Raw genomic sequence first — 12402 nt, forward strand, 5'->3', positions numbered from 1 at the left:
CTGAGGATAATGGCAATGAACATTAGACAATTAAAACAGCAGAAGTTACAATATTTATACATAATGATTAGTATGTAAAATAAATAAGAAGCATAACTTAGTTAACTATTGCACATGCATAGTGTATTATTTTGTCAGATTTAGGAAGCTGTGTTTCAAATGGACAGTCAGTGTCTAAATCAGGTAGCTGCCTATTGAGTTAACTGTTGAAAGTCAGTTGCAAGGCAGAGCCTAGTTATGTCATTGATTGTTATTCAACATCTGTGAAACGTACTTTATTCATTAAAATCAGTACATACTCACTATTTATGACAGTCTCAATGTTGCAAAATCACTGGTAGTCATGTTGAAAGGAAGAGCTGCTAGCAAAATTAGAAAGTTGCTTCTCCTCACCAGCTCAAGCAAATGGCTAATGGACAAATTATCTTTCTTCCCTTTGTACATTGCCCTTTCTTCTGGGAACTCAGATGCTCAGGCTGTTGCAAATTTGGAGCTTTTACCTTTTTCTTTTTAAAATTTCTGTCTCCTGTGTCTTATTCTCTCATGGTTTTGAAAAACGATTGACCAACCTAGCTTGTAAAGTAGTATGTAAATGAGCTGTGGCATCTCCTACTTGTATCCTATTCAGGCCTCTTAGAAATATTCAAGGAAAATCTCAGGAGAAAAAGAAAAGCTTTAGGAGAATAAATTGCAATGGACAGAATTGTGGAAGGTTGATTGAGGAAAACACACTTGAACAAGAAGGCCTTTCAGTCATATGCCTCAGCTTAAACCTACAGAGCCCGATATAATACAAACAGTATAATAACTATGAAGCATTATTCTACAATAGGATGAATTGTATATTTTCCAACCCCTTCCCCACAAAAAATATCCATATGTCTAAGTTAGAACCCTCAGTAGCTCAGAAGGTGACCATTTGGAAATAAATAGGATCTTTAAAGAAGTAATTAAGGTAAAATAAGGTTATTGGTGTGGGCCCTAATCCATTCTAACTGGTGGCCTTATAAGAAGAGAAGACTAGGACACAGACACATAAAGGAAAGACCATGTGAAGACAGGGAGAAGATGCCCATCTATAAACCAAGGAAAGAGGCCTCAGGAGAAAAAAGAAATCCAGATTACACCTTGATCTCAGACTTCTAGTCTCCAGAATTATGAGAAAATAAAGTTCTGTCATTTAAGTGACCCAGTCTGTGGTATTTTATTATGGTATATGTTTCAGCTCTTTTTATTTTGCTATGACAGAATACCCAAGACTTAGCAATTTATAAAGAAAAGAAATTTATTAGGCTCATGGCTCTGGAGGCTGGGAATTCCAAGGACATGGCAGCAGCTTCTGGCAAGGGTTTTAGTACTCTTTCATAACATGGTTGGAAAGTAGAAGGACAAGCAAGCATGTGAGAATGAGACCACAAGAATGAGCCAAGCTTGCTTTTACAACAGTCAACTCCCACGACAACAAACTCACTTGCATAAGAACTCAACACTAGAATAATGACATTCATAAGGGTTCCACCTTCAAGACTCAATTGCATCTTAAAGGCCTCACGTCTTGGTACTATTACATTGGCAATTACATTTTCAACACATGAATTTTAGAGTGACATATTCAAACCATATCATTCTGCCCCAGTCCCCTAGAATTTATGTCCTTCTCACTTGGTGGAAGCTTCTGGCGAGGGCTTTTTGTACTGTATCAAAATGAAGTGGAGGGCATCACATGGAGAGAAGGCAAAATCTTGCATGTTAGCTCAGGTCTTTCTTTTTCTGTTCTTATAAAGCCACCAGTCTCATCATGGTGGCTCCACTCTGATGACTTAATCTAATCCTGATTATGTCCCAATGGCTCCATCTCCAATCAACATACACATTTGAGAGATTAAGTTTTCAATATGTGAAATCTGGGGAACACATTCAACCCACTGAGGTAGCCCTAGAAAACATACATACTCACAATGCACCATGCTGTATGTACGTAATTACTTTTAAATATGTGAAGCAGATCTTCCAGTTACCTTGCATTCTAAACTATTATTGACCTTAAAGTCTTATAATGAATGGAATAGCTCATCTGTTCTCTTTCTTAAAACCTTCCAACTGTAGAGCATCTTCATGGTTTATCCATGACTAGAATCAATTATTAAATCAAAAATACTTGTGAATATTTGCCTTCTATGTATCAGATATTGTCCTAAGCACATCAGATAAAATAGTGAATAACATTTTTGTCCTCTAAGAATTGACAATATAATGTCATTGAGTCGAATTTGGTCCATTTGCTCACATGCAGTGGAAAGCCAAACACTGAAGCACCAGGTTTTTGCAGCAAGGAAAGTTTATTGTAAGTCTGTTGACAAGGAGATAGGAGGAAATGCTCAAATCTGCCTCCCTGAGCTGGGGGTTGGGTCATGTTTTATAAGCATAAATAACAAGGTATGATCTGATTGGATCTTGCAATAAGGTGGTGCTGAGAGACATGATTTGAGTGGACCCTCCTATGGGGTGATGCCAGGGACTTGACCTGATTAACCCTACATCCTGCCATGCAGTATCCACCTCTTAATTCAGTCCCTCTTCTGAGTACTTACATTCCACTGGTACTTAGTTCATCTGGGCATGCCCATCGGGTTTCATAACCTTTAGTGTAAGGGACCCATGGCAACTGAAAAACAACTCACAACTTTGTTACATAAAAATTCAGTCTGATTGGTCTGATGTAATATAATAGCAGTAGAGATAATCTGATGATTATAATAGCAGTAGAGAAAAAAATGAACACATAAATTATATTCAATAAAATGTCTTTGCTATGAAATGCCAAAAAAGAAAAACGAAACTGGGTTGGAGTTATCAGGAGTATTATTTTGGCAAGATGGTCAGCAAAATATTTGAGCACAAACCTAAATATAGTGAGAGACCTGAATAAGCATGAAGATCTGTAGAAAGAGGATTCCAGGGACAAGGAGAGTAAAAAGCAGGAGCCTTCTTGGCTTATTAACAGAGTAACAAGCTGTCCCATATGACTAGTGTCAGTACCCAAACAAGATAAAGACTGGATATTATTCTAACTGCAACCTGAAGCTATGGAAGGTTTGATGTGGGGGAGTGACATGCTCTATTTTATTTTATTTTATTTTATTTTATTTTATTTTATTTTATTTTATTTTTTGAGACTGAGTCTTGATCTATCACCCAGGTTGGAGTGCAATGGCGCAATCCCAGCTCACTGCAGCCTCTGCCTCCCAAGTTGAAGTAATTTTCATGCCTTAGCCTCCCAAATAGCTGAGATTACAGGTGCCCACCACCACACCCAGCTAATTTTTGTATTTTTAGTAAAGAGAGTTTCACCACGTTGGCCAGGCTGGTTTTGAACTCTTGTCCTCAAGTGATCTGCCACCCTGCCTGGCCTCTTATTTACATTTGAAAAGAGCCTTATTGGATGTGGTATAGGGAAGGTATTTTCAGAGTGTAGTGTAGAACAGCAAGGGATACAGTTTTGAGGCCCTTGCAGAATTCCAGGTGAAAGAAGTTAATGGTTGGAATCGATTTAGTAAAAGTGAAGGTGATGCAAAAGTCAAATTTGGAATATATTCTGAAGGTGTAGAACACAGAGTTTGGTGATAAAATGATTGCAGAGTGGGGAAAAAAGGAAGCCTCAAAAATGTCTGTTAGGTGGTGTGGCCTGAGCAACGTTAGGAATAATGGCATAATTTTTTGAGTTGAGGAACATTAGAAGCAGGTTTGAGATAAAAATCAAAATTAGCTTTTGAACACATTAAATTTGAGGTGATAGTAGCTTTCCAACTGAACTATTACAGTCCAGTTCAGAGGAAAGATTTAGAATATAAATTTGGGCACCATTAGCTTATAAATTTAGTATTTATTGAGAAGAAATTGAGTCCTGGGGAACTCCAACATTCATGGATTAGAGCAAATAGGAAGATTCTAGAAGTGAGACTAAGAAAAAAACTGGAATAGAAGGAAAACAAAGAAAATGAGAAGATGGACAAGTGAGTTACTCAAGAAGACATAGTAATCAATTGTTTCAAAGGCTTTTTGGTTTACTGAGATAAGAATTCACCATTGAGTTTGGCAATGGGGAGTTTGTTGATGATCTCACTAAGAGGTTTCTCTGGAATGGTAATAAAAGTGTGATTTAAGTGAGTTTAAGAGGTAATAATTGGGGAGGCGGGAGGAGAGGAGGGGAGGAAGTGGAGATAGCAAATATAGACAATGCCTTAAAGCAGTTTTGCAATGAATTTGAGTAAAAGTGAGGTGATGACTGAAGGGAGATGGGCAAGGAAATTGATGGTGCAGGATATGTAGTGGATAACTGCATTTCCATTCAGGAACACCCTCAATTTAAATATTTTGAAGTCTTTACTCTCGGGCTTGTCAGAACACCTAGTAAAGCCTCTTATTAAATCATATGTGAAATAGATAATCCTAACAGCCAGTGTATTAGTCTATTTTCACACTGCTATAAAGAAATACCCGAGACTGGTTAATTTATAAAAGAAAGAGATTTAGTTGACTCACAGTTCCACATGGCTGGGGAGGCCTCAGGAAACTTACAATCATGGTGGAAGGCAAAGGGGAAGCAAGCTTGGACCTTCTCACATGGCAGTAGGAGAAAGTGAGTGTCAGCACAGGAAAAACTGCCATTTATAAAACCATCAGACTTCGTGAAAATTCACTCACTGTCACGAGAACAGCATGGGGGAAATCGCCCCCATAATCCGATCACTTCCCATGAGGTATCTCCCTGAACACCTGGCGATTACAATTCAAGATGAGATTTGGGTGGGGACACCAAGCCTAACCATATCAGCCGGTATTCTGGAAACCTAGTGAAACAGGAATGCTGGGGTTATAGAGAGAATGGTGGCCCCCAAAGATGTCCACATCCTAATTCCTGGACTTTATGGATATGCTACCTTTGGCAAAAGGGACTTGGCAGATGTTATTAAGGTGAGGACTTTGTGATGGGAAGATTTTCTTAGATTGTCCAGTGGGAAAAATGTATTCACAGGATTTTTAAGAGTGGAGGTAAGAAAGGGTGGAAGATGTGACTACAGAAGCCAGGCACCAAGAAATGCAGTGTTGCTGCCTCCGGAGATGGAGAAAGGGGTCACCCAAAGAATATAAGTGTCCCCTGAACCTGGAAAAGGCAAGGAAAGAGATTCTTCTCTAGGAGTGCAGCTCTGCTGATACCTGACTCTCTGATGTTAGCCCATGAGGCCCAAGTTGTATTTCCATCCTACAGAGCTATAAGATAATACAGTTCCATGGTTTAAGCCACTAACTTTGTGGTAATTTTTGCAGTATGTAAACTTTTACTTAAACCTCTGTTTACAGGATGGTGTCCCCATTAAGTGCACCAGCTGTTCTCTAGTCCAAAGACCCTTTTGTGACCCTCTCCAGATAGTAAACCAGCAATCACCGGCAGGGGGAGGGGATGGGCAATCACTTACCTGTGTGGACCAGGGGAGAGGATCTAAAGGTTTGGGTACTTCTTATACTTTCAATAAATCCTTCAGTTTTTTTAAGCCTCATTTTCATCCTCATTTCCAGAGGTACTTGGTGCCATGAATTCCAGAATTTTTTCTTTGTTCTGTGTTGTAAATTGAGTTATTTTTGGTGTTTCCCTTTGAAGGTTTAGTATCAGTTTTTTCAGATGCGCTAAGGAGTTACCAGGAGCCCGTCTACTTTCCATTTCTTGTACTTGTCCTCTCCCATGTTCTCTGTCCTTGTGGAGTAATGCCTTTCCCTCCCAATTATTATTATTATTATTAATTATTATTATTGTTTTGGTAACAAATTCCTTTACTATTGCTTTTGTAGCATATTGGGAGTGAATGGAGACTAATATGTACATTCACTGGATTTCATTAACCAGAAGTCTTCCCTCTTCTTTTTCAGTGAAATAATAAATGAACATCAGCAGATAGTGTGCAGGCAGGAAGGGAAGCAATTTCCAGTTTTTATTTTTTTTTTAAGTTTGTCCAGGAAAGGACATTTAAGCTATCCCATGGATTTTCCTTCTACTATTGACTTTTGCCACAGAAGAAATTAAAGTCCATAGTTATTAAAGTCCATAGAATTAAAGTCCCTATATTAGAAGGCATTATTACAACTTTTTTGTATACCATTCTCTGCTAACCTCTTTTATACTATCTAACTTTTCATGAGTTAGCAACTCATAAAGCTTGTTTTATTTTTCAGTATGTGATTAGCTACTTTGAAATGCTCCTGGAGTTTTCTTTTATCATTACTATTATTATTAATTATTATTATTATTATTATTTTGAGACGGAGTCTCGCCCTGTCGTCCAGGCTGGAGTGCAGTGGCGTGATCTCGGCTCACTGCAAACTCAGCCTCCCGGGTTCACGCCATTCTCCTGCCTTAGCCTCCCGAGTAGCTGGGACTACAGGCGCCTGCCACCTCGCCCAGCTAATTTTTTGTATTTTTAGTAGAGACAGGGTTTCACCATGTTAGCGAGGATGGTCTCAATCTCTTTTTCTGTTTTTAATGTGTGTATAAAAGAAACTCTTAAAGTGCAGGATAATTCATTAGCATAGCATGATCTAGGGAGCACCAAAAGCTCTTTAGCGTATTGTTATTAAAGTGCTTATTTCTTAACCTTGACATTGTATCTGAATTGCTAGATCAGCAAATGGCATGATTTATTTCATCATCATTGCCATTTTCATCTTTATCTTTATCATTATCACTAGAACAAAATACTTATAGTGCTAGGGATCATGTCTGTCTCTATTTCAGTTCTGTACCCCAACACCCAGGCGAGGACTTAGTATGTAGCAAGCTATCAAAAATATTGACTAAATGAATCACTGACAAATAACAACTTTGTATCCCAACAGCTAGCAAAAGATATTTTCACATAGAAAGTCTTTATTAAACCATTTTGAAAAATAATTATAAAATTAATTTCTATTTGGGATGTGATATAAATAGAGAGAAATGCCCCCATCATAGGGGTACAGCTGGATGAATTTTAACAATGTGAACACAACTGTGTAACCAGCCCAGAGGTCAAGAAACAAAATGTTATCAAGACTACCTAAGTCCCTATCAGTCACTAACCATTTCCTCAAAGGTAGCCACTTTTCTGACTTCTGACACCCTAGATTAGTATTACCTATTCATTAACTTCATTGGAACAGGATCATATGTACTCTTTTGTGTCTAGCTTCTTTGGTTCAACATTATATTTTTGACTGTCACTCATATTCTTTCATTCATTCTCATCACTTTATGGCATTTACTATAATATATTTATAGGTTATACTCTTGCTGAACATTTGGACTGTTTCTAGGTTGGTTCATTATGAATAGTGCTGCTATGAACATTTTCAGTCAGCTTTGGTTTTTGGTTTGGTACACATTTATATGCATTTCTATAGAAATATAAGTGGATTGTTGGGTTACATAGTATGTATAGGTTTAGCTTTAGTAGACATTGCCAACCAGTTTTCAAAACAGATTATGCTCCCACCAGCAGCATGAGAAGAATTAATTATAATCGCTCTGCATTCTTGCCAGCTTTTGATATTTTCCATGTTTTTACAATTTAATCCATTTTGGCAAGCATATAGTGGTATAACACTTTGGTTTTAATTTGATTGAATCTTCTTCATCTTTAACAATAGTGTGATTATCTCATTATTGCCAGTACTTATCTCAAAACCTGACACAGAGTAGGCCAAGCACCCATGATGCATACATCTGTGCTATGTGATTAATTGCTGCATGAAAATACTTGCTCATTGCCCTTTGTTTTTTTTTGATTTGAAAAATTCTTTACTGAAATGCAGAAGTTACCTGAAAGAATACCTATTCAGATATTTTTCATATTACTTTGCCATGACTTTAAAAATGGGTGGGATAAAGTTTAGGAAATTTTACATGGTATCAGATAGAAGTTTGGGAAAGGTTTAAGAAAGCCACAGGAAGTAGGAAGGTTCTAGCTATCACAAAGTGATGGATTTATTCAGAGAAGGAGAGCCTTCAAGATTCATTACAATAAAAAGAATATGCACTCAGTGCTGGACCTGAGTAAATGTATTGCAGGTCTCTTGAAATATAAAGTTCTTCAAGGTCAACCATTGCCTTTAGTCCAAGGTCAACCATTGCCTCTAGTCTTTCCATTGTTCTCCCTTGCCCTGATGAATAAATGGTTCTGTACTGAGTTAATGCTCACAAAGCCTGACTGACTAAAGGAGGAAAGTTTTGTTCCCCTTGGTTTCTGTGCTGGTCTTATGTTATATTTAACTATCGTCAGTTACTATGATACATCATAACTATTTTAAATATACTCTCCACTGTTTTAAATAATCAAACTATCTTGTGACCTTGCTTTACAGATGTGTGAATACTGCGGATGGTGAAGGTGGAGCAGTGGATAGCAACCTGTGCAACCAGGATGAAATTCCCCCAGAAACCCAGTCCTGTTCTCTTATGTGTCCCAATGAGTGTGTCATGTCTGAGTGGGGACTTTGGAGCAAATGCCCACAGGTAATTTCTCTTTCTTTGTCAATGCTCTGATAATCTATTGTTGCCTTCACTGTTGTTCGTTGTGCATTCACAGTGCTAGTCTCCAAAGCATTCTTCTAGTAACATGGGAAAATAATTTTTTTCTTTTTGAGAAATCCAAAGAAAGAAAAAAAGAAAAAAAAAGTCTGCAAGCAAGACTGAGCAATTTAAAATGCCAGTCCTTCTTCCAGGGCCTTTATCACAGTTACATGAACAAGGAAAATGAGCCTATAATGATCACACTAGGATTCAACTGTGCACCCATTGTGAAAGGAGTCTTCTTTAGTAACAAAATGATTCTCCTTATAATATATCTTGGTCCTGTTCCATTTTTATCCTGGCAGAATCAATTACATCTTAGGAGCTCAACTCCACTGTGTGATTTAGCTTCTGTTAGTGATGATCTGTTTTTGCCTTTTACTGTTTTCCTGAAGATGAGGCATTCTTTTGCCATGTTTCTACTTCTTCCAAAGCTAACAAAAATACCTTAAAAAAAAAAAAAACTAAAGGATATACCTTTATTTTTTTCTTTTAAAGTCTTAAAAAATTGGAAGCACAACAGGAGTATGGCAAAATAAATATTATTCAAGGAGCATATTTCAACTTACTATTCCCAGAAGATAAATTCTGATGTTTTATACTCATACTTCAAAGTAAACACTGAAAAAAATGAAAGTGGGGATTAGGAACAAATTATATGAATTCAAACATTAGAAAGGAAAATTAGGATACTTTGAACTTGATTGTCATAGTGATAATTTGTGGAAAGACTATGAAAATCTCTGTATGGAAATGGAAAATATCTTTAAAATCAGTTAATATCGTATGTTTAGAGCTTCAAATTATTGATTCCTTATTAAATATTGAGCCCTTATCTTTGATATTTGTATAATTCTATTCCTGAAAGAGATTTCACTCTATTGTTATTTTTATTTGTTGAGTTGTTTTTAGAGCAATATAATATTGACATGAAGAGAAACTGATAAGAATAACTTGTAGAAGTGGGATATTTGTACTACTAAGTCATTTATTTTGTGTGTAACCTGAATATAATGAAAATTAAAATTTATTGACCACTTATTTTGTGCAAGGTACATGTAGGAACTATTCCCTTTAGTACTCGTACTAATCCTATTAGGTTGGTAGTATTACTAGTTCATTGTTCAGCTTAGAAACTGATGTGTAGAAAGGTTAAGTGGTTTGCACAAAGTTTTGTACTTAATAAGTGATGAGCTCAGAATGAACATTATTCTATTGATGAAGCCAGAGATTTTGCTCTTATATTCTCGGCCCAGTTATCTTGGAAAAATTAAGGTGGATTTAGACTCAATACTTTTCTTTGTTTAAAATGCAATATTTATTTGAAGAAGAAGGGTAGCTGTTTTAGTTATCTGTGTGATTATTCCATGAGTGAGTATTATGTTTATATTTTAGAAAGTGTGCTAGTACCACTCTTTATTAATCAACCTATAGAAGAATTAGCAGCCTGAAGAAGTTTAATTAAATGTAAGGTCATGATCTTCCTCACTTTTGTTTTTCTAATTTACTCACAGAAGACTCCATTAAGCTCTAATCACTTCGCAATGAAAACATTGCCGTCTTAAGGTATCTGGCCACTGGGCTAAAATTTTTATTGTAAGAACGTTTTACACAAAGTTGTGAAGGTTTAGCATTCTGTGTTTGCTTCTTTTGGGTTTTTGTTTTTTCAAGGCTTCTTTTTCGAAACATAATTATTTAATTTTTGGAGTGTTTAGAAATTGGAGGTAGAGAAAATATTTTAACCTCCTTTCATGTGTCAGAAAGACAACATAGTTACTCACTTGTCAGCATGAAATGGGAAGGTTGTTCCTTTACCTGCTTATGTACCTTCCAAGTTACATAATGATAGAAGCTATGACAATGACAATACAGACTTTTATTGAGCATATCTTATATAACCAACATTATACTGAAAGCTACATGTAACTCTTAAGTTTTATAACAACATTGCACTATGATGATGTAACACTTGTCCATGGCCACTCAGGTCTGTCTGACCACAATGGCCTTGTCCTTTTCAGATGCTATGCTGTACTTTCCCATGTAAATGTAAACTTCAAAGTGAAAAAATGGTAATTAGGGCTCATACCTGATTATTTTCCCTAAATCTAGGTATATTGCATAACTTTAGTTAAGTTGCAAGATCTTAGCATAATGTCCCGTCATCATAGGACAATCCCAGTCAGTATTGGACAATGATAATGAGAATGATTATAGCAAAGGCAGCAAACTAAATCATTGTGCCTGTAATTTAATTAGCACTTCAATGTGCATTTCATTAGAAAAAGGAAACAATTATTTTATAAGTGTCCTGTAGAACATGAGCTGATTTAAGGATCTTTAATATTTGCCATTATTTTACCAAATTCTCCTTTGATAGTCTGCAGTGTGACATATGATATTGGGACAAATTCACTATTTGTTGGGTATTTTCTCCTCCAAAGATACTTCTTTAGAGACAAACACATAAATAAGCTGAACATGTATTTAAGTGTGGTTGCAGCAAGTTATTTAAACATCTGAGTTACAGGTTTCTTACTGGGAAGTGAGGACAATAATAGCTATTTTTTTCAGATTGTTTAAAAAATTAGATATAATATGTATAAAATAAATTTCATAAGTTATTACCTAACACAGAATTGTGATGAAGAAGAACCACCACAAAGCCCCCTCCCACTTACCTTGTTTGCCACATGGTTGGGAAATCCCAGACAGGGAGCAGTACATTTTTTAAGCTATACAGGAAAGATCCCTTCCCCTGCACAAAATAAGTTATTACTTGATCTTTTAGAAATAAAATGTCACCTCCATTACTGAAACATGACTTATATCTAATTTAATAGTAGTCCTTAAAAACAATGCATCACAAAGATAACTTTGAATGAATGGATTACTGACCTGACAGTAACTACCAATTGCAAACCATACAGAAGAACAAATAAGACAAAGGCATTAAAAATTGTACTGGGACCATTTTTTTAAAACTGTATTGGGAAAACCATAAATGGATCAAGCAAAAACAAATACAATTCAAGGAGGAATTTGAAGAAAATGAAAAACTATTTGTTTCCTTTGTTTTATGTTCATGTTTTTTCTTATTCCCATAACACACATATATATATATATATATTTTTACTTTAACATGCTTACTTTTCTAGAATGCTTTACTATGAAAGGAAAGTTGTGTAATTGTGCATACAATAACCTTCCTAATAGTGTTTACTCTTTAAAAGTATGTGTGTGTATACATGTTTATACATGTATGTAAGTACATGCATACACATACAAATATACAGACATTTCGTAGTTCATTACTTACCACCCAATGTTCTCTTTTACCTAACTAATTTTTTCCAGTTTTTGTCCTGATCCTACATACTTCAGAATTATGCTGAGGATTATTCATAGAATCATCTATTCTTCAAGAGAAGTTTATAAATTTCTGGATGCAAATATCTTGGAACATTTGAAGTTGATTAGCCACTTATGTATCTGAAACAATATTGGGTTGCCTTCATTTATGCTACCAATCCTTACTGAAATTTTCCATTGAGTAACACAGATTTTCTATTTATATCTCTCCTTGGAGTCTTGGCAAAGGAATTTCCTAAACATTGATATTGATAGGACAAGTGTATTGGAAGTGAATTTCCAAACTGTTGTATATTTTGCAGAAGCAAGACTTTGCAAACCCACTCCAGAAAGATGACTTAGATTTAGCAAACCTGTTTGAACTTTGATTCACCTCTAGCTGAATGTATCAGGGGTTGGCCAGAACTGTAGCCAAGCATCCCTTCACATAG

At 36.0% G+C, this 12402-nt stretch overlaps 1 protein-coding gene across 2 annotated transcripts in view; it reads left to right on the plus strand.

Moving 5' to 3' along the window:
• The window catches only part of THSD7B (thrombospondin type 1 domain containing 7B), a 912174-nt gene that overhangs the window by 798470 nt on the left and 101302 nt on the right, over window positions 1–12402 (plus strand). For both annotated transcript variants that reach the window (NM_001316349.2, XM_047445935.1), the window contains exon 17: window positions 8392–8542. In NM_001316349.2, the coding sequence (NP_001303278.1) occupies window positions 8392–8542 (151 nt within the window). The remainder of the gene's footprint in view (window positions 1–8391; window positions 8543–12402) is intronic.

The sequence above is a fragment of the Homo sapiens genome, chromosome 2, assembly GCF_000001405.40.
Source record: "Homo sapiens chromosome 2, GRCh38.p14 Primary Assembly".
Taxonomy (NCBI): domain Eukaryota; kingdom Metazoa; phylum Chordata; class Mammalia; order Primates; family Hominidae; genus Homo; species Homo sapiens.